The 21,951-nt window shown below is 45.1% G+C and overlaps 1 protein-coding gene across 13 annotated transcripts in view, besides 2 other annotated features; it reads right to left on the bottom strand.

Moving 5' to 3' along the window:
- The window catches only part of NAAA (N-acylethanolamine acid amidase), a 30,359-nt gene extending 9,584 nt beyond the window's left edge, over window positions 1-20,775 (bottom strand). For all 13 annotated transcript variants that reach the window (NM_001042402.2, XM_006714180.4, XM_005262924.4 and 10 more), the window contains exons 1-7: window positions 20,506-20,775; window positions 19,763-19,927; window positions 15,871-15,997; window positions 10,976-11,066; window positions 5,497-5,573; window positions 713-885; window positions 500-562 (exon numbers count right to left, since the gene is read on the bottom strand). In NM_001042402.2, the coding sequence (NP_001035861.1) occupies window positions 500-562; window positions 713-885; window positions 5,497-5,573; window positions 10,976-11,066; window positions 15,871-15,997; window positions 19,763-19,927; window positions 20,506-20,711 (902 nt within the window). In that variant the 5' untranslated portion in view covers window positions 20,712-20,775. The remainder of the gene's footprint in view (window positions 1-499; window positions 563-712; window positions 886-5,496; window positions 5,574-10,975; window positions 11,067-15,870; window positions 15,998-19,762; window positions 19,928-20,505) is intronic.
- Window positions 20,058-20,127: a silencer, noted in NCBI's record as "silent region_15483". NCBI's record gives its function as "represses an Ori minimal core promoter by ATAC-STARR-seq in GM12878 lymphoblastoid cells {active_cell/tissue: GM12878}" and the evidence as "EXISTENCE:reporter gene assay evidence [ECO:0000049][PMID:35858748]".
- Window positions 20,528-20,997: a silencer, noted in NCBI's record as "silent region_15484". NCBI's record gives its function as "represses an Ori minimal core promoter by ATAC-STARR-seq in GM12878 lymphoblastoid cells {active_cell/tissue: GM12878}" and the evidence as "EXISTENCE:reporter gene assay evidence [ECO:0000049][PMID:35858748]".

Genomic DNA, 21,951 nt, shown 5'->3' on the forward strand with positions numbered 1-21,951 from the left:
TGTGGGGTAGTAAAGCCAAGGCAACGTATATAGCTACCTGCACTTTGGAACTGTGCTGACTTATAATTATAGAATGTTTACAACTTGAAGGGACAATAAAAACCCTTGACTGGTTTATTTATTGTTTAAATAAGGGAAATAATTTCCTTCTAAAAATATCTTGCCTAGAAGACCATGAACCTGGCCCTTTGCTTTCATTTTACAGACTGGTAAACAGAGGCCCGAGAGCCACCCAGTGAGTCACTAGCAGAGCTGGTGGTGGGCTCTAGGGCTCCTGACCCTGACAGCCTCCCAACACCCGCCCAGCTGCTGAGAGGCTCTGCCCACTGCTCTCCTCCACACAACACTCCCTTCCCAGCCAAGGCACTGGCGAAGGGGCTCAGGTACATTTTCTGGGAGAGGATAGCACCCATAGGTCTTGCCAGTTCCTGTGACAGAATGGGCATATTCTCCTGACCATAAGAAAACACTGCAAACCAGAAAGCACGTAGCAGCCTACCTCCGGTCATCTTCCTTGGGTGCTGGCTTCCAGTGGTCGTAATTTGTCTCAACTCGGAACCACCTACAACAGAGCACATCATCTTGTCTTATCCAAGGCAATTTACGACATAGCAGAGGAGACATATGAACAAATTTAAAATACCCCTCATTTCACCGATTAAAAAAAATGATTATCTGATACAAAATGACCAGAGCTTTCAATTCTACTTACGCTCCATTCAAAGGATCTAGAGGCCAAATGTCTGCTGGGCCATCTCTGTTCCTCGTGATGACCACCCCCTCCCGGGGGGACGTGCCACCAACAATGTAATAAACATCAGCAATAAGGGGAGTCTTGGCCAACTTGCCAACAGCTGCTTCGAAGTTTTCCGACTCACTCAGGGTCTGAACGAAAGGATGAACTTGCGTGAGCAACCCCACCTGCAGTTGGGTCCACACCAGATGATGCAAAAATGATCCAAAGCACATTCTCCTGATATGTTATGTCATGACTATCACCTTGATCTGCTCTGACCTTATCCTCTTGTTATCAGGGCTCCTAAGATGGAAGAAATTTCAGCTTCAAAGCGGAGCCAGGAGCAGCAGGAAATTCTGACAGGAGGAGAGAACTGTTGACAAGCCCTAGGCCTGGCTCAGCAAACACCGGCTGTGTGCTCTCCAGGCAGATCGCCCTCACAAAGGACTTTTTGTGCTTCTTCATTCATTTATTATTTAAACAGGGTTTTCTTGAATATCTACACTGTGCCAGGCACTGTGCTGGTGGGGGATAGAGCAGTGAATGAGTCGCCTGGTCCTATTCTCCCCAAGCCTCTGAGGAAGACAGAAAAGTCAACAACCAATGGTGACACAGTGTAATGAGAGTTCACATAGGAGAATAAGATGCTATGGACGTCACAGTAGGGGTCCCATCCTCACCAAGGGCAGTGGAGGAGGTACTGCTGGGAAGCATCGCATGAATTGAAGCTAAAGAGACAAACACAAGTGAGTGGTGAAAGTGGTGGTTGCAGGGTGAGGAGTGGCAGTGGGGAGGAGGGTTCTAGTTCGATGGACTAGACTGGCAAAGGCTTGGGGATGAAAGAGCATGCGCTACATTAGCGCCCTGAGCTTAACTGGTGTTCAGACACCCCGAGGGCGCATGATGACTTCCAAAGGCCTGTGGCAAGGATACTTAAGGGGATCACTCCCCAAATCTTCAGATTCCATATGGGCTCCTTCCTAGAGCTGATCTGCTCAAGAATATCCTTCGGTGGAGGGCCTGCTCTTCCTGTCTCCACCTTCACAACCACTCTGCTGCCATGTTTTAAAGGAAGTACACTGTATGCTCACCCATCCTGGATATTGCCAGGGCACATTGTCAAGGGTGGAGGTGGTGATAGGGTCAAACAAAAGAACAATTCAAGGTATTGGTGTCTGCAAAGGCTCCGTCATTCAGCACCATAAACCTTAACAGCAATAACCATAAGGCAAGAAAACTCTACAAAACCCATGGCAGGGCTTTGTAGAGTTTTCCTGCCTTATACTTAGCTATGCAGGGAGGCTGAGGTGGGAGAATTGCTTGAACCCAGGAGATGAAGGTTGCAGTGAGCCGAGATCATGCCACTGCACTCCAGCCTGGGTGACAGAGTGAGACCCTGTCTCAAAAAAAAAAAAAAAAAGAAATGATCTGTCCTAACTTGTTTGACTGTAGGTCATATGATCCCCTTTCCAGAGAGGATCCTGCCCTGTACCTGGAAGAAGGGAATGTATGGTCAGAGAGGCCAAGAAGAATCTAGACACACAGGCCTAGCTGGGTTTCCCCACTCCATCTATTAGCACTGGATCTACCTTTTTGTTCAATCATATTTCTACATGGCATTCCATACTTTGTTAAACCTAAGCATAAAAATGGACAATGTCCCCTGTATCTTTGGGTCTTCATTCTGAAGACTCCTATGTCATGTACATGTTAAATAAATTTGTATGCCTTTTCTCCAATTAATCTGCCTTTTGTGAGTTGACTTTTCAGTGAACCATCAGAGGGCAAAGAAGAAATTTTCCCTTGGCCTTTGCAGAGGTAATAGGAGTGATGAAATATTTGTTTGCTTATGTTGCCTATACCATCCCCCAACTACTATCAAATTCATTTTCTCTAACCTGTGACAGCAAAGCAAAAGAACATCCATAAAAAATACTGAAGGCACTGGTGACTTATTTTACCCAGGCGACAAAGTCAGGGAGTGCAAATGCATCTATCTCAGGAAATGGAGGAAATGGGCAGTGACTGCTAATAGACATGGAGTTTCTTTCTTCTTCCTTTTTTTTTTTTAGTCTAGGTCCCAGAGTTTCTTTTGTTATTTCATTTATTTACTTCTTTCCAGACATGGGGTCTCAATGTTGTCTGTTGGACCTGAACTCCTGGGCAGAAGGGATCCTCCCGCCTCAGCCTCCTGAGTGTCTGGGACTGCAGGCGAGCACCATCACACCCAGCAGATTCGTCCTTACCAGAGAACATAGCAACCTCAGCATATGGATTTTTTTTCTTTCCTTATCAAATCAAGAACTTTCACCTTTTTGATACAGGAGATAGAAAGAAATTAGGCAGATAGTGAGGGTAGAAGAGTCCTTGGCAAGGCTTCCTTTCTAACAAAAAGTAGCCCAAGAAGTTATTCTTTTCTAACAAAGAGCAGCCTGAAAAATCGAGCTGCAAACATAGACAAGCAAGCTGGAAGCTTGCACGGGTGAATGCCAGCAGCTGTGCCAACAGAAAAGGGCTACCTGGGAGCCAGGTATGTTCAAAACGGAGGCTCCATCTTCCCTTCTTTTTTCTTTTTTTTTTTTTGAGACAGAGTCTTGCTGTGTCTCCCAGGCTGGAGTGCAGTGGTGTGATCTCGGCTCACTGCAACCTCTGCCTTCTGAATTCAAGTGATTCTCCTGCCTCAGCCACCCAAGGGGCTGGGATTACAGACACCCGCCACTACACCTGACTAATTTTTGTATTTTTAGTAGAGATGGGGTTTCACCATGTTGGCCAGGCTAGTCTCGAACTCCTGACCTCCTCACTTCTCTGCCTCGGCCTCCCAAAGTGCTGGGATTACAGGTGTGAGCCACCGCGCCCGGCCCATCTTCCCTTTTCTTTGTCACCATGTGTACAGTAAAGAAGCAGGCAACATGGCACCAGCCAGGTAGAGAATCCATCAGCATAATAAAAGATTAGGGTGGGGGCAGACAGCTTTTCATGCCCTATGCAAATGGTACACCTGGTCCAACCAATCTTTGCTGCCCTATGTAAATCAGTTACCACCTCCTCAAGCTCATCCATAAAACCTCCTTCATTTCACCACAGAAGCAGCAACTCATTTTTTTGGGACTCCTCTTTGCTCTTCTCTTTCTTTCGCCTGTTAAACTTCCACTCTTAACCTCACACTGGTGTGTCCGCATTCTAGTTTTCTGTGGCCCTGAGACAACAAATCTAAGGTATCACCCCAGACAAATGAGGCCGTTTCATTTTCACTTAAAGGAAACACCTTACAGCTTCTTTTTGTCATACCCAAGTTGCTGGCATCTCTATTCTTGCACTTTGTGGCAAATTATTAAGTACGATAAGCGTTCCTTGAACACAAGCACTGAGATGCGTAACAGTCTGATAATTGAGACAGTTACTAGGTGACTGATTTCATCCCACTATTCAGAATATTGTGCAATTTAAAACCGATGAATTATTTCTGGAATTTTCCATTTCATATTTCTGGACCACAGTTGACTGTGGGTAACAGAAACCAAGAATAAGGGGAGACTACTGTAGATGTGGCCTGGAACCCAGCACATTTTAATAGGTTCTTGTAGAGCAGATGTTCCTTTTGTTGTGTGCACAGCTGGCTTCTAATGTGTTTGCTTTGCTAGTTTGGATATTTGCAAATGGAGATTTTAAAAGGGGAGTACATCTGTCTCTGTAGAAGAGCATAATATTATCTCCTATCTCAATCAGCTATTGTGGAAAACTCTAGCCTATGACAAAGATTCTCTCCTTAACCAAACTCTAGCCAGGCTCCTCTGAGACCTCTTCTCTATTAGACCTTGACCCTGGCTTATAAAGACTCGAACAAATACTAATAGTTTCTAACAGCTCAAGGCCACGTCTCTCAGATGACTAGTCCCCCTTAAAGTGCCTGTCTGAGAAAACTCCAGGCTGTCAAAAGAATTTGCCATTTGTTCCAGCCAATACCTGAAGGTAGGGCCCCTGTCTCCCTGTCTCTGTAGGAGGGTAGGAGCATAACTTCATTTTTTTTTTTTGAGACGGAGTTTTGCTCTTATTGACCAGGCTGGAGTTCAGTGGCACCATCTCGGCTCAATGCAAGCTCCGCCTCCCAGGTTCACACCATTCTCCTACCTCAGCCTCCGGCTCCGCCTCCCGGGTTCACGCCATTCTCCTGCCTTAGCCTCGCGAGTAGCTGGGATTACAGGCACATGCCACCACACCCAGCTAATTTTTTGTATTTTAAGTAGAGACAGGGTTTCACTGTGTTAGCCAGGATGGTCTCAATCTCCTGACCTCGAGATCCACCCTCCTTGGCCTCCCAAAGTGCTGGGATTACAGGCGTGAGCCACTGCGCCCTGCCTGGAGCATAACTTCTAAGTTCCAGTTCGCAAACTCAAATTGGTTTCACATGAACCGATCCCGCCTTTCCACTTTTCACTTCTCTGACTATCCTAAGCTCCTTGTTCCCTCACCTTTTAAAATACCCATCACCTCTGCACAAACCGAAGTTGAGCTCAGTTCACACTGGACTCTTCCTTACTCCAATAGCATATACTGATTACAATCTGTCCTTACCACTTTAACTAGTGTCTGGCTTTATCTTTGACATTTATCAAAAAGATTTATATGCACTTTGCAGACATTTAGATGCTTATTCTTTTAAGGAGCTCCTTACATTAAAAGCAACATTGTTAAATGACACAGAACAGTTTAGAAGGTGGAGGTGGAGTTAAGGAGGGCTCCACATTAAATATACTCACAGCGCGGATCAGCCAGCTGACGGGAATGTGTCTCCGAAACAGGGCAGCGATAGCATTCTCCCACCACCAGCCTTTATCTGCCAAGTTGAGTATATATGTTATATATGTGTGTGTATATATGTACACACATGAAACAGATATGTTATTTTAGCAAGGAAATATAGAGAGATATTCACTCAAGTTTTGAAAGCAGAATCTTTTGTACCAGGATACAATGATAGTTATGTCAAAGGAAATAATTCTATTAATTATGCCAGGCAAAATAAAATTATGTAGCCATCAAGGGAAGTGTCTTAATAAATATTAGGAAGAACATAGAGAACTTGAGTCTTCCACACCTGTGATTTGTGCTCACATTTTAAAAAAATACAAATTTGCAATCATTTCCCAAAATTACTTTTGGACAACTTTTAAAAGTCTGTTAGGGGATTCATTGCCAAACAAAAGTTTTCATTCAAGGCTAAGTAATGGCAATATAAGAAAAAAATGGACAAATTGAATTTCACAAAAATTTTTAAAATTCTGCGCATTAAAAGACAGTATTAGCCAGGTGTGGTGACTCATGCCTGTAATCCCAGCACTTTGGGAGGCCGAGGTGGGCGGATCCCCTGAGGTCAGGAGTTCGACACTAGCCTCGCCAACATGGTGAAACCCTGTCTCTATTAAAAATATAAAAATTAGCTGAGCATGGTGGCGGGCACCTGTAATCCCAGCTACTTGGGAGGCTGAGGGAGGAGAATTGCTTGAACCTGGGAGGCGGAGGTTGCAGTGAGCCAAGATCAGGCCACTGCACTCCAACCTGGGTGACAGAGAGAGACTCTGTCTCAAAAAAAAAAAAAAAAAAAAGACGGTATCAACAGAGTAAAAGGCAATTCACAGATTGAGAGAAAATATTTGCATTAATAAGAGATTAATATCCAGAGTATTCAGAGAACTCCTAAAACTCAACAACAACAAAACAAACATTCCAATTTAAAAATGGGCAAAGGGCCAGATGTGCTGGCTCAAGCCTGTAATCCCAACACTTTGGGAGGCCCAGGTGGGAGGAGTGCTTGAGCCCAGGAGTTTTAGATCAGCCTGGGGAAAATAGTGAAACCCCATCTCTACAAAAAATTTAAAAACTACCAGGCATAGTGGCACATGCCTGTAGTCCCAGCTTCTGGGGAGGCTGAGGCAAGAGGATTGCTTGAGCGCTGTTGGTCAAGGCTGCAGTGAGCTGTGATTGAGTCACTGCACTCCAGCCTGAGTGACAGAGTGAGACTCTGTCTCAAAACAAAAAAAAAATGGGCAAAGGACCTGAATAGACATTTCTCCAAAGAAGATATACAAATGGCCAGTAAGCACATGAAAAGATATTCCATATCATTAATCATTAGAGAAATGCAAATCAAAACTACAATGAGATGCCACCTCACACCCATTAAGATGGCTACTATTGGCCAGGTATAGTGGCTCATGCCTGTAATCCCAGCACTTTGGGAGACCAAAGTGGGTGGATCACTTGTGCCCAGGAGTTTTAGACCAGCCTGGGCAACATGGCAAAACCCTACCTCTACAAAAGTTAGCCAGGCATGATGGCACATGCCTGTAGTCCCAGCTACTCAGAAGGCTGAGGTAGGAGGATAACTTGAGCCTAGGAGATTGAGGCTGCAGTGAGCCAAGATCCCGCCACTGTACTCCAGCCTGGGCAATAGAGTAAGACTCTGTCTTAAGAAAACAGAAAGAAGAGAAAAAGAAAAAAAACAGGCCTTGTGCAGTGGCTCACTCCTGTAATCCCAGCACTTTGGGAAGAAGCCGAGGCAGGAGGACTGCGTGAGCTCAGGAGTTTGAGACCAGCCTGGGTAATATAGTGAGACCTTGTTTCTACTAAAAAAAAAAATTAAAAAAAAATTTTTAATGCCCCCCCCCCCCCCGCCAAAAAAAATAGCTAGAATTTGAATGTTTCTAGTGTAAAGAAAAGACAAATATTTAAGGTAACATATCACAATTAGATTGTGCACACATGATCGTGCATTTATGAATGTGTGATTTGAGACAGAAAGACTCTGTCTCAAAACAAACAAAAAAAAATGGGCAAAGGACTTGAATAGATATTTCTCCAAAGAAGATATACAAATGGGCAGTAAGCACATGAAAAGATACTCCATATCATTAATCATTAAGAGAAATAAAAATGTGATTTGCATTTCTCTGATGTGATTATATGAATGTAACACATCACATGTGCTCCCAAAATATGCACATGTAATGTGTATCAATAACAAAATTAATTTTTAAAAACCCACTCTAGCAATTTTGAAATACATAATACATGATTGTTAACTGTACTCACCTTGCTGTGTGGATCACCAGACCTTATTCCTCCTGTCTAATTGAAACTTTGTACCCTTTGACCATTTCCCTTTTTCCTCAGTGCATAGCAACCACCATTCTACTCTCTGCTTCTATGAGTTCAAACTTGGAGATTCCACATATAAGTGAAATCATGCAATATCTGTCACAGTAGGTTTTAAGCAGGGGAACAACCTGACCATTCTAGTTGCTGGGTAGGGAAGGAATTATAAGAAAGTAAAAATAGTAGCAAGGAGATCAGGTGGACTAATCAGGCAGTACAGGTGTGATGGGGGCTAGCTCAGCAGTGGAGGTAGAATGGACAGGTACAGTCTAGTTCTGCTGTCAGAGCTGATAAGACTTAGGGAGTGAGGGGTCAGTGATGATTTCTGGTAGCAATTGGTTGGGTAGAGGTGCCATTTTCTGAGACATGGGAAACGAGGAGAGGGACAGATTTGAGTAGAGGCAGAGTTGGGTAGAAAATAGGGAAAAGAAAAAAGCAAGAGATCTGCTTAGGCAAGTGTAAGATGCCTAGTAGACGTCAGAGTGGAGATGCTGAGAAGATGGCTGGATGCTCCAGTCTAGGACTCAGAGGAGGCCAGGCCTGGAGATGCAACAACAACAAAAACACTTCTGTGGCCCTTGCTCTGTGCCAGGGACTGCTGTATTTCATATTCGTTAATTCATTTCATCCTCATAGCAGCTATTATCATCCCTGCTTTTTTTTTTTCTTTTTTTTTGAGATGGAGTCTCGCTCTGTCGCCCATGCTGGAGTGCAGTGGCGCGATCTCGGCTCACTGCAAGCTCCACCTCCCGGGTTCACACCATTCTCCTGCCTCAGCCTCACGCCTAGCTGGGACTACAGGCACCCGCCACCACGCCCGGCTAAATTTGTGTTTTTTTTTTTTAGTAGAGACGGGGTTTCACTGTGTTAGCCAGGATGGTCTCAATCTCCTGACCTCGTGATCCACCCGCCTCGGCCTCCCAAAGTGCTGGGATTACAGGCATGATCCACCGCGCCCGGCCCATCCCTGCTTTCGAGATGAGGAAACTGAAGCACCGACAGGTTAAACTCCTTGATCGTGGTCACCCAGCTACAGCAATAAGATTTAAACCCAGGCAGACTGGCCCTGGAGTCTTCAGGTGTTACCCACCAGGTGTTTTGTTAAGCCTCCCCATGCCCTGTGGCATTCATTAGTCCTCCTCATATCTTTATCCTTTCCTAGGGTGGCTTTGAGGCATTGCTGGCACCCCCCATAATGTCCAGAGACTTAATATCACAGCTCATTGCAGCCTGTAACTCCTGGGCCCAAGCCATCCTCCCATTTCAGCCTCCCACGTAGCTGGGACTACAGGCAGGTGCCACCATGCCTGGCTAAAAGCAGTTTGACAGTATTTCATTAAATGCATATGTTGTAGACTAACTTGGTTATTTTTAACTGCTCATACCTTAGATTCTACTAATCAAGTTTGGTAAACAACTTGAGTTGCAAAATGAAAGCCAGTCATTTTTAATAAATATACATGTAATTATAGGCATTCTATTAAAAACCTTAGTAATTGTCATGCTGTGGTTTGGGTACCACAGGTTGAGAACCAGTACTATACATAGCTGACATATGAGAAAATGTGGAAGAAATACATTAGGATAAAGAACTGCTTACTGTGGACACTGATATATACTCAATCACCATCTTCCTGGTAAAGCCTTATGTAAAAAGATAAGAATAAACAATAACACTGGCCGGGCATGGTGGTTCACGCCTGTAATCCCAGCACTTTGGGAGGCCGAGGTGGGTGGATCACCTGAGGTTCGGAGTTCGAGACCAGCCTGGCCAACATGGTGAAAACCCATCTCTACCAAAAATACAAAAATTAGCCGGGTGTGGTGGCACCTCCTGTAATCCCAGCTACTCAGGAAGCTGAGGCATGAGAATCGGCTGAGCCCGGGAGGCAGAGGTTGCAGTAAGCTGAGATCGCCCACTGCACTCTAGCCTGGGCAACAGGGCGAGACTGTCTCAAAAAAACAAAAACAAACAAACAAAACAAAACAAAAACCCCAAAAAAACAACACCATGAAGTCAATCAGGGTTCATCAGACGAGCAACACTAAACTTCAAGATACTCCTTGTATATATCCTTCTCCTTGATTCAGCTGCACGCTGAGGACAGACACAGAGCTCACTTATTTCTAGATTTCCCACATACTGTGGAACTAAATGGTGTTCCCCTGAGATCTGGGGAATGGCAGTGGGGATGTCAATGAACAGAGCAATTGGGTCAGGACCCAGGAGAGCAATCTGAGAACTTCCTCTCCCACTACTAGCTGTCATTTCATCTCACAGCCTATTTCTTTCTCTGCCTAACGAATGGAGTTAAAAATAACAGCCCTGCCTAACAGGACTGTTGTGAGGGTCTAAGAAGAAGACATGTGAGGATGTACATGGTAAACCAGAAAGTGCTTTACAAATGTGGCTTGTATAACAGCATCATATATCCCCTAGATTATCACAGTAGTTTCCAAATGGTCTTCTGCTTCCATCTTAACCTAAAACAACCCAATCTCTACAGAGCAGCAAAAGTAATAGTTAAAAATATAAATCACATCTGTTCACTCCCTGGCCTACAATCCCCCTACAGCTTCCATTATGCTTAAAAACCAAACTCTTCATTGTGGCCCTGCACCATGGCCTCAGCCTCTTCTTCACTTCTAATGTCACTACCCACTTACTCCCATGCCATAACCACACTGACTTTCTTTGGCTTCTGAAATCCACCAAGCTTATTATTACTACCTACGGCCTTCATCCTTGCGGTAAGACCACCAGAAATGGTCTTCCCCTGGCTTCTGCAGAACTAGCTCCCGGATCACATGGGTCAGGCCTTCTCTGACCCTCTGACCTGTACTAACCACCCCACCTCCTCCTTCACTCTCTATCACAGCTTCCTATTTTGCTTTCTTTGCAGCACTTATTGCTACCTGAAATCTTCATTGCTTCCATGCATACTGTCCACTTTCTCCCCCTAGGATGGAAGTCCCTGCCACATAGTGGGTGTTCTGTATATTCTGTTGGGTGAGTGAAGGAAGTGCTTGGATAGAACTGAACAATAATGTAGCTAAAATTACACAGGGGTTTGTTTTGATTACCTCGTTCATCACCAGAAACTGTAAACTTGTGTGGGCTCTGGCCAGTCCATAATCCTACATAGCCAATAAAAGTAGTTCCTGTGAATGCAATCTGAAATCAAGAGATAACATGGATCATTTCACCATTCCAATCAAATACACTGAAATCACCTGTTCTGCCCCACAATTTTCTGGATTTTTTTTCTTATAAATTCCAACACAATAGAATAAAACTCTGAAATAGTCTTCTAAGACAGAGGTTCTTAACCTTAAGCTGGGGTGGGTGGGGGTGTGGTCCATAGATAGATTTTAGTAGATTTGTGACCTTGGATGGGAAAAAAAAAGATGCATCTTTATTTTCACTAACCTCTAACTGAAATTTAACTCCTTCTATAATGAATGCATGCAACAAATCACACAATCATAGTGGTGCCTATAATTTTGCCACTAGTAGAAATCACAGATATTTTCACATACACAATGTTGGCTGCAGTTATTTTGAAACACTATCCATAATTTACTACTTTGAAATCATGGTAGTTATTAGACCCCCTGCTAAACCTTACTATTTAATGTGTTAAGAAAAAGTATAACATTGAAATGGCTGTTTTCAACACAACTGATTTTTTTTGTAATCCTACGTATTTTATTTTATGTATTTATAAAACAGTATTCACCAAAGGGGTGCACAAAGCAGGTTAAGAAGCCCCATCCTAGAAGTAGCAAGTGGAGTCTTACTTTAAAACTTGTTTTGAAGCCAGGAGCAGTGGCTCACGCCTGTAATCCTAGCACTTTGGGAGGCCAAGGTGGGCAGAACACCTGAGGTCGGGAGTTCAAGACCAGCCTGACCAACGTGGAGAAACCTGGATTCTACTAAAAATACAAAATTAGCCGGGCGTGGTGGCACATGCCTGTAATCCCAGCTACTAGGGAGGCTGAGGCAGGAGAATCACTTGAACCCGGGAGGCGGAGGTTGCGGTGAACCGAGATAGCGCCATCACACTCCAGCCTGGGCAACAAGAGTGAAACTCTGTCTCAAAAATAAAATAAAATAAAATAAAACTTGTTTTGATTTGATTATAAGAGATGAATATCACATATTTTATAAGCTCTGTGAAGTTAGAATATCAAAGTGGGACTGTTCACCAATAATAATCACATTTAAATTTTAAATATTTAAAAATCCTTTAACAAAGCTCTTTCATTTAATCCTCACAACTATCCCATGAATTATAGGCATCACTCCTACTTTAAATTAAGGTCACAAGCTCCAGTGATTGCAAGATACCACTATGTAACCTGCAGGAGAAAAATCAAACTCTGTATGTCACCGAGGCTGGAGTGCAATGGTGCAATCACGACTCACTGCAGCCTCGACCTCCTGGGCTCAAGCAATCCTCCCACCTCAGTTTTCCAAGTAGCTGGGACCACAGGTGCATGCCACCAAACCTGACTGATATATAAATATATACAAAATTTTTTTTTGCTTTTCCTAAAGACAGGGTCTCCCTATGTGGCCCAGGCTCGTCTCAAACTCCTGGGCTCAAGCAATCCTTCTGTCTTGGCTTCTCAAAGTGCTGGGATTACAGGTGTGAGCCACCACAGCTAGCCTTTATCAGTTATTTCTGATACCAAATTTTATTTTTCAAAGAAGTACTTTGGCAAGGCATGGTGGCTCACACCTGTAATCCCAGCACTTTGGGAGGCCAAGGTAGGCGGATCACTTGAGGCCAGGAATTTAAGACCAGCCTGGCCAACACGGTGAAACTCCAACTCTACCAAAAATACAAAAATTAGCTGGGTGTGGTGGCACGCACCTGTGGTCCCAGCTACTCGGGAGGCTAAGGCAGGAGAATCGCTTGAACCCAGGAGGTAGAGGTTGCCGTGAGCCAAGATTGCACCATTGCACTCCAGCCTGTGACAGAACAAGACTCTGTCTCAAAAAAAAAAAAAAAAAGTACTTAAAACAGTATCTGACTCATACTGTTCAATAAAAGTTAACTAATACCATTATGTTTTAAGAAATAGATAGTCCTAGATTGATATTTTCCTTAGAAAAATTAGGTCAGTAATGTTTTTCATTTAATTATTTATTTTTACCTTATCTGCTTGTAAAAATAATTTAAGGTGGCTGAATTACAAGGGAGAATGCAGTGTCCTTAGCTTTATAAATGACCTCAGCCCTCAGACTTACTGAGGACCTCCATGAATGTCTCATCTCCACGCATGGTGGTAAAGCAGAAATAAGTCTTCCTTACTACTCAAATGTAATTATATGGAAAATAAAAAGTAATTATATGGCCACCTCATTTGCGTGACACCGTGATCGTCAGGGTCACTCTTGGAGGGCTGAGAAAATTGAAGTTATGAGATCAAAAGTCACATCGTAGTTTTCAATTACGATACATAATTATAAATAATTTTGAGATATAATTTGTAAGATATTTTATCTTGCAGCTCTGAAAATCTGTCTTTACTTCTGTTTGTACTTCCCAGTTGTTTCTGCCTAGTCAGTTAACATAAACAAACCCTTAGCAGGGAATTTTAAGTTACAGCCTGGTGCCTGGTGCGGTGGCTCAAACCTGTAATCCCAGCACTTTGGGAGGCCGAGGCGGGTGGATTATCTGAGCTCAGGAGTTCAAGACCAGCCAACATAGTGAAACCCCATCTCTGCTAAAAATACAAAAATTAGCCGGGTGTGGTGGCACCCTCCTATAGTCCCAGCTACTTGGGAGGCTGAGGCAGGAGAATTGCTTGAACATGGGAGGCAGAGGTTGCAGTGAGCCGAGATCGCGCCACTGCACTCCAGCCTGGGTGATAGAGCGAGACTCTGTCTCAAAAATAAAAACAATAGTAGTAGTAATAATAATAATAATAATAATAATAATAATAATAATAATAATAATTTACAGCCTAATTAAGGCTGTAAACAAAAACTATCAGTAGGCCTAACGCCTGGGTTCTGGCCCTACCTCTGCCATGTCTCTAGAGGCCTTGTGATTCGGGGCAAGTCAGTCTCTGTGAAGCTGGGCCCCCTCATCTAGAAAGTAAAGATTAAAATGTTGACTTATGCCTGCTTCACAGGGCTGCTGGGGGGATCGAATGAGGTCCTGTGTATGATAATACTTTTGTTGTTGTTGTTGAGATGGAGTCTCACTCTGTCACTGGGCTAGAGTGCAGTGGTGCGATCTCAGCTCACTGCAACCTCCGCCTCCCAGGTTCAAGCGATTCCCCTGCCTCAGCCTCCCAAGTAGCTGGGATTACAGACACCCACCCACACGCCCAGCTAATTTTTTTTTTTTTTTTTTGTAGTTTTAGTAGAGACGGGGTTTCACCACATTGGCCAGGCTGGTCTTGAACTCCTGACCTCGTGATTCGCCTGCCTCGGCCTCCCAAAGTGTTGGGATTACAGGCGTGAGCCACCGCGCCCAGCCAAAAATACTTTTAAGATTACAAACACTAGACAAGAATGAGAGATGAATTATTTTGTGGATAACCTGTTCTTAATTTCATAAAACAATTTCTTGGCCATGAGTCCTCCATAGAAAAGCAATACCCAAGTGTAAACTGTCTATATTCAGTAACAGTCACCTGAGTACTGAGAGTAAAACTACCTCTACAGACTATTTCTCTATAGATTATTTCATGGGAACTCCAGGAAAAACAAAAACAAATGAAGCAACAACTATTAGAGTGAGTTTCAGAGCAGCTGAAATAATTTATTTTCATTGCATTTATTCCTTTGTCTCTTTATTAAGAGTATTAGCTCATTATAGAACAATGGAGAAAAAACATGAATAAATAATAAATAATATTATCCTTCATTCAGTAATAACTTAATATTTAGCAGATTTCCTTTGAGAATTTATTATGCATTTATATTATCGTTACCACTTAAAATCATTTTTAAAGTAATTCAGCTAGAAATCAAATTGTTAATAGTGGCAAAGTAAAGAAATGGGACTGGAAAGGAGAAACTTTTACTTTAAATATTTCTGTACTGTTTGAATTTTTTATGAAAAAAAGTGTTTGTAAAAGCAGATGACTGAGTAGTTAGTAAATGAGTTTTTAGTATTTGTGAATCAACCCCTAAATGCAAAGAACAAAGGGAATATAGTCCTTGTCCTTACAGCCAAAATCTGGCTTTTGCACTCTGTATTCTGTTTTACAGCAAAACATGCTTTGCGTACTCAATGAACATTGATTAATTCTGTCTCTCTAAAAGTTTACACAGTTGACAACAGCACACACTAGATTATAGTTTTAAAGGGACCATGCTATAAACAAAAGATCTAAGTATAATTTTTTAAAGATCATACACAAGAAAGTGGTGTGGGTCAATCACACTTGCAGAATGAAGGACCATTTATTATTTGGCTACAACTTTACATAGACTACTTCATTTAACATTTATAACTATCGCAGTAAAGTAGTTATGAGCCTCCATGAGCTGTAGTCTGCAAAATTAGGGAATGAGTAATTTCTCAGGTTCACAAAGGAAGTACAGTAATTGATAGAATCAAGATTTAAACCTGGGACTGTCAGATCCCAAAGTTGGGTGTTTCTAGTTATTGCACTACCCAGCCCCTCCATATTCCAGAAGCAGCCTGGGCATGGGAAAGCAGAGGAAAGAGCTGACTCTGCATAAGTGGATGATTGATCACTCTCTAAAAGAGATTTCCCTATGGAAAACTGGGTGACCTCTTTAAGTAGACACTGAATAATAAATAATAAATGACCGTCCTTCCTATAAGCATAATTGATGCAAACCTCTCTTCTGGCTTTGTTTTTCCAGGGGTGTGATTTTTTTGTGTCTTACACTGATAACACACTTAAGTTAGCAGGCCATCCAAATGACTGCTAACTTGAGTTTGCAAATCTTTCTGATTTTTTATCTTATATGGTACGGATTATACCTGCCCATTCTTTAAGAATTGCACATCCACTGTCAGCTTGCGTAAGACATTCCCAAAAGGATAATCCAAATTCCGACCATGGTAAATGTGGCCTCTGGAGTCTTGAGCCACAATACTGGTGCAGAACCTGAGAAAAGGGAAAAGTCCAACATGAATGAATAAGACAAATAAGAAAAAAAAGGAAAAGGAGTTTTTCATTTGTAAAACAAATCCTCAAAGTAAAAGTTTTTCTTCCTTATAACTGATATATGTGCTATAATGCTTGTATAAGAATATAGATTAACAATTCAAGATGAAAAACACAACTGGATACAACTCATCTGTGTTCATTCAGTGTTTCTAGGATCTTTACCCTTAGCACACATGGAGGGCATCATAAGCATAGTAAGTGAGAATTTCATCCTCAGTCTAAATCTGAAGTGAAACTAACCCATCCTGGGCTCAGGACACCTCTGAACTCTGCTTTTTCCTCTGCATGGCAGCATGTATTCTATTTAACACATGATTCAAAGCCAGCTCAAGCTCACCTCTCCATATATGAATTCCTCAGAGCAAATAAAGTAACACTAAACCATTGTTTCACAAATGTTTCATTTTGTCCCCTTGGGAAAATGGCTGGCTCTTAAGGGACTTGGCACTTTTCCTTTCTCTCTCCAGCTCCTTGCACAGAGATCATAATTTTAAAAAAGGGGGAATCTCTATGAACAGAAGTATTGTGAGAAAAAGAGGAGGAGGCTTGTTAAGTATCTATCCATATTCTCTGAGAATATTTAACTGTACATGAAAAAATATTTATATACAGTATGTCCAATACCAGAGGGAAAAATATGTATATCCACATGAACAAAACTGAGAGAAAATATCCTGAAGGGTTTTTCTGGTCATTTTTTAATAACAGGATGGTGGTTAGCTTTGTTTTTTTACTTTTCTACATTTACTGATTTTCTACAACGATTACATGTTACTTTTATAATTGGGGAAAAAAGTGTTACTTTTTGTTTGTTTGTTTTAAGATGGAAACTTGGGCTGGGCAAGGGCACAGTGGCTCATGCCTGTAATCCCAGCACTTTGGGAGGCCAAGGTGGGTGAATCATGAGGTCAGGAGTTTGAGACCAGCCTGGCCAACATAGTGAAACCTCATCTCTACTAAAAATACAAAAATTAGCCGGGCATGGTGGCGCACACCTGTTGTCCCAGCTATCTGGGGGGCTGAGGCAGGAAAATCGCTTGAACCAGGGAGGCGGAGGTTGCGATGAGCCAAGATCGTGCCACTACACTCCAGCCTGAGTAACAGAGTGAGACTCCGTCTCAAACATAAATAAATAAAATAAAATAAAGACGGAAACTTGGTCAGTTTTAATTCCCTCCAAGGTTTCTGTTATTTATTTATTTATTTATTTATTTTGAGTCTCTGTCACCCAGGCTGGAGTGCAGTGGTGCAATGTCGGCTCACTGCAGCCGTGACTTCCCGGGCTGAAGCGATCCTCCCACTTCAGCCTCCTGAGTATCTGGGACCACAGGCGCAAGCCTCCACATCCGGCTAATTTTGTGGTATTTTTTGTAGAGACAAGGTTTTACCATGTTGCCCAGGCTGGTCTCGAACTCCTGGGCTCAAGAGATCCATCCACCTCAGCCTCCCAAAATGCTGGCAATGCAGGCGTGAGCCACTGTGGCCGGCCACCCTCCAAGGTTTCTGAGCTTAACTTCAAAGAGTTCAGGTCAGGGAGGGGACTGGTAAGACATGGGAAGTACTAAAGCAAAGTTTGTGGGATCTCTCTCAGAGGCGATTTTTCAAAATTGGCAAGATAACAATACTTCCATCTCAGGCCCAAATGTTGTAGTGTGATGCAGCAGTGCACAAGCATGGGAGACAAATGAGGAAACAGGCTCTGCTTTGAAAGGCACTGCAGCGAACTGGAGATTCCCATGCTTTTAGCACTCACCAGCCACCTGACTTCCAGCAAGGTGGCCCCACTGAGGCTTGGTTTCCACATCACAAAACAGATGATACCATCTTCCCCACGGGACTGTGTTCATGAAGTGCCTGGCACCCAGTAGGCTCAATAAAGGGTAGCTAGTATTATTCTAATTCAAGAAGGCTTACTTCCAACATGAGAAGAAAGCATTTCCTTTGTTAATGCTAGTGAATTGAATGGTGCTATTAGGCAATTCAATAAATACCTTAGTATCAAATCCAAAAGTTAGAATGTTTTTACTAGAACTTTTGCTTTAATGTGTTTGAATATGGTGACTCCAACAGATGAGGGTAAAAATGATTCGTGATTTTTCATTGAGAAAGCTGTAAGTTAAAAATAGGAAAAAGTTGGAGGTAGGAGAGGGAGGTGGTAAAATTATAATAACTTAGTTCAACTGAAAAGCATGTTATTTAGCAGGCCTGTGTCTTTTCTGTGCCTGAAAGCATTTCCTGAAGAGGAAGGCAGTCCCAGTGCTTTTTAGCTTACTCTGCCTAGGTGTTCTGGGAAAATGCCTGGGCCAGTAAAGTTTCATTATTCCAAGATCTTTTCTACCCCCATCATCTTTAGGCAGCAAGAAGCTCTAAGTATGTACAAGAGGTTACGAGATGAAGCTAGTCTGCTGGCAAAACAATAAGTATTGAAGGAAGAAACCAAGTCAAAACCTCTCTTTATTCCAGGGCCTATTACTGAGCCCATAAACCTTTAGTGGTCCCCTGCACTTTGCCTGGGATCAACCACACACTCCATGTTGCTTTCACTTCTGGGTGCACTTTTTTTCTTTGATATGGAATCTCGCTTTGTCGCCCAGGCTGCAGAGTGCAATGGTGCCATCTTGGCTCACTGCAACCTCTGCCTCCTGGGTTCAAGTGATTCTCCTGCCTCGGCCTCCCAAGTAGCTGGGATTCACAGGTGCCCGCCACCAGGCCCTGGTAATTTTTTTGTATTATTAGTAGAGACGGGGTTTCACCATGTTGGCCAGGCTGGTCTTGAACTCCTGACCTCAGGTGATTCACCCGCCTCGGCCTCCCAAAGTGCTGGGATTACAGGCGTGAGCCACCGCGCCCAGCCTGGATGCACATTTTATCATGCCCACTTCCCGGTCCAAACACTGGCTGGCCCTATTAGAGCAGTGTTCCCTGTCGCCCCAGCCCTGGTGGACACAGACACTTCAGCCACGACACACATGAAAGGATAAATGCAGGGCGACAAATAAGGGCAGAGATGAGCCACTGCCAGTATAGAGCTGGAAGGCCACTGAGTTAACTAAAGGGTCCAGATGAGAGGAGGCTTAGTTTCAAAAACTTCCTGGAAAAGTACGTTTTGAGCAGAATTTTTTTTTTTTTTTTTTTGAGACAGAGTCTCGCACTGTCGCCAGGGCTGGTGTGCAGTGGCGCGATCGCGGCTCGCTGCAACCTCCGCCTCCCGGGTTCAAGTGATTCTCCTGCCTCAACCTCCTAAGTAGCTGGGATTACAGGCGCCCACCACCACGCCTGGCTAATTTTTTGTGTTTTTCGTAGAGACGGGGTTTCACTATGTTGGCCAGGCTGATCTCGAACTCCTAACCTCGTGATCTGCCCACCTTGGCCTCCCAAAGTGCTGGGATTACAGGTGTGAGCCAACGCGCCCGGCCTTTGAGCAGAATTTTAAAAGTACGCTACCTGGATTGGGGAAGAGAAAACCCGGGGCTACACGTAGAGGGAAAGTTTAGTGTTGAATCGGAGAATCTGCTTTCCCTCTCGAAGCCTACGATGTGCAGCTCAGATTTACCCAGAGAGGCAAAGAGGAAGCGCTGGAGGTTTCTAGGCAAGCAGGCACCGCCCTGTTTTTATCACACGGAAAATATGTCTCCTCCCGCTAGTCTGTGTCGGGGGCCCCCGCAAGCCCCGCGTTACTCCGCGCGGGCTTGGGGCACTCACACGGAGGACTCGTAGGCCAGGTTGACCAGAAGGCAGTCCGCCAGGCTGAGGTTCATGAAGTCACACATGCCGCGGATCTCGCCGGTGAAGGGCTGGGGCAGGAAGCGCTCCAGCTCCAGGACCACTTTTCCGATTAACACGTGCACCCACTTGGGGACTCTGTCCCTAGAAACAAAAAGCACAAGGGCGTCTGACCCGCTCAGAGGTCGGCGGCGTGCGACTGCGTGTGCACTGCGAGCGGGGCTACATCCTTAGGGCGTGAGGTCTCAGGGCCACTGCTCCCCAGTCAGTGGACCGCCCAGGCGCGGCGTCACTCAATCTGCAGCCTCCCGGGAGTGGGGGGAAGGGGGCGGGGGGAAGGCGGCGGGTAAGAAAACTCCGAATGGGGAGGGCGAGTGAGGCTGGTCCCAAAGGGGCAAGCTTGGAAGGCCCGCGAGGCCCGCAAGGAAGGCGCGGGTTGCCCCTCCTTGGTAGCTATGCAGCCCGGGCGACAACTCGCGCGCCACGCTGACCCGGAATGGCTCAAGGACTGGCGTGCCACGGGTGACACCGAACTTGAAAGCCGAACCTGCCGCGCTGGATTCTCCCCAACCCGGACGCTGCTCAGGGCGGCAGCCAAAACCAGTTCTCCAAGGGTGGCGGGGAGTAAAGCGTCCCCGTTTAAAGCACTCTGAGCAGCGCGCGTTTGACTCCGACCCGCAGGGCCGGTGTCCCCGCAGACCCCGTCCAGGGCCCCAGCTCACCCGATGACTTGCGCCATCGCGGCGCGCACCAAGTCCAAGTCGTAGTGCCGCAGCACGGGCAGCCAGCGCAGCTCGGGGACCGAGTCCAGGCTCACGTTGAAGCGCGGCGCTGCTGGGGGCGAGGCGGCTGACAGCCCGGCCCCGGCCAGCAGCAGCAGCAGCAGGGACGGAAGCCCCGGGCGCGCCTCCCGGTCCGCGGTCCGCATGGCTCGGGCTCCAGCGGCCGCAACTTGGAGACCTGCAGCCGCTGTCGGAGCCCGGGTAAGCCGTGGAGGAGGAGGAGCTGGGGCTGGGCTGCGATCGCTGGAGGTGGGGCCCGCGCACGACCCGCCCGCCCCTGTCACCGGCAAGCCGGAGCGGCGACACCTCCCGTCCCCGCCGCGCATCCACTAGCCCGCCCCGACTCTCCATCGGGCCTGGAGGTCCCTGACCGCGGGGCCGCTAAGGGTTGGGGCTGCCGGCAGCCGGCTTCTCACCAACTGCCGGTTCCAGCGCACCTGCTTGGGCCGAAGGAGTGTAGGCTGCGGCCGGGAGGGGCTGTAAGATTTTCAGTAGCGAAAAGGTGTCAGGAAAGACTTTTCAGTTAAACTTTGTTTGCTTGTTTGTTTGTTTGTTTGAGATGTAGTCTCACTCTATTGCCCAGGCTGGAGTGCGGCGGCGAGATATCCGCTCACTGCCAACTCCGCCTCCTGGGTTCAAGCGATTCTCCTGCCTCAGCCTCTCAAGTAGCTGGGATTACAGGCGTCCACCACCATACCTGGCTAATTTTTGTATTTTTGGTAGGGACAGGGTTTCACCATGTTGGCCAGACTAGTCTCGAATTCCTGACCTAAGGTGATCCACCGGCCTCAGCCTCCCAAAGTGCTGGGATTACAGGCGTGAGCCACCGCGCCTGGCTGGTAAAACATTTTTTTAAAGCTCAAAATTTAGTGAACATTTATCTGCTAAATATTTTTCGCGGACATTATCTCATTTAATCATCAAAACAAGCCAACAGGTAGGTTCCACTAATCCTCGCTTTACTGATGAGGAGTGTGAGGCTTGGAGAGGTGAAGCCATGTACCCGAGGTTACTCTGCTGGTGTGTCTCTGCACTGGCCTCCAAGTAAGGAGGTCTGAATCCACAATCCACCTTCACACCTAAGTTTCTTCACCTTTGAGTTCCCAATGTCTGGGAGACAAACTTAGGAAAATCTTAGTAAGGCTGGGACATTCTTAACGGTTAGCACAGTTGTCTGTGGGTAAAACAGGGTACATGTGTACATGAATAGTAGAAACTAAATGAAAGGGCCGGGCATGGTGGCTTAGGCTTGTAATCCCAGCAGTTTGGGGGGCTGAGGCGGGTGGATCACCTGAGGTCAGAAGTTTGAGACCAGCCTGGCCAACATGGTGAAACCCTGTCTCTACTAAAAATACAAAAATTAGCCGGGCGTGGTGGTGTAATCCC

The sequence above is a fragment of the Homo sapiens genome, chromosome 4 (genome assembly GCF_000001405.40).
Source record: "Homo sapiens chromosome 4, GRCh38.p14 Primary Assembly".
NCBI lineage: Eukaryota > Metazoa > Chordata > Mammalia > Primates > Hominidae > Homo > Homo sapiens.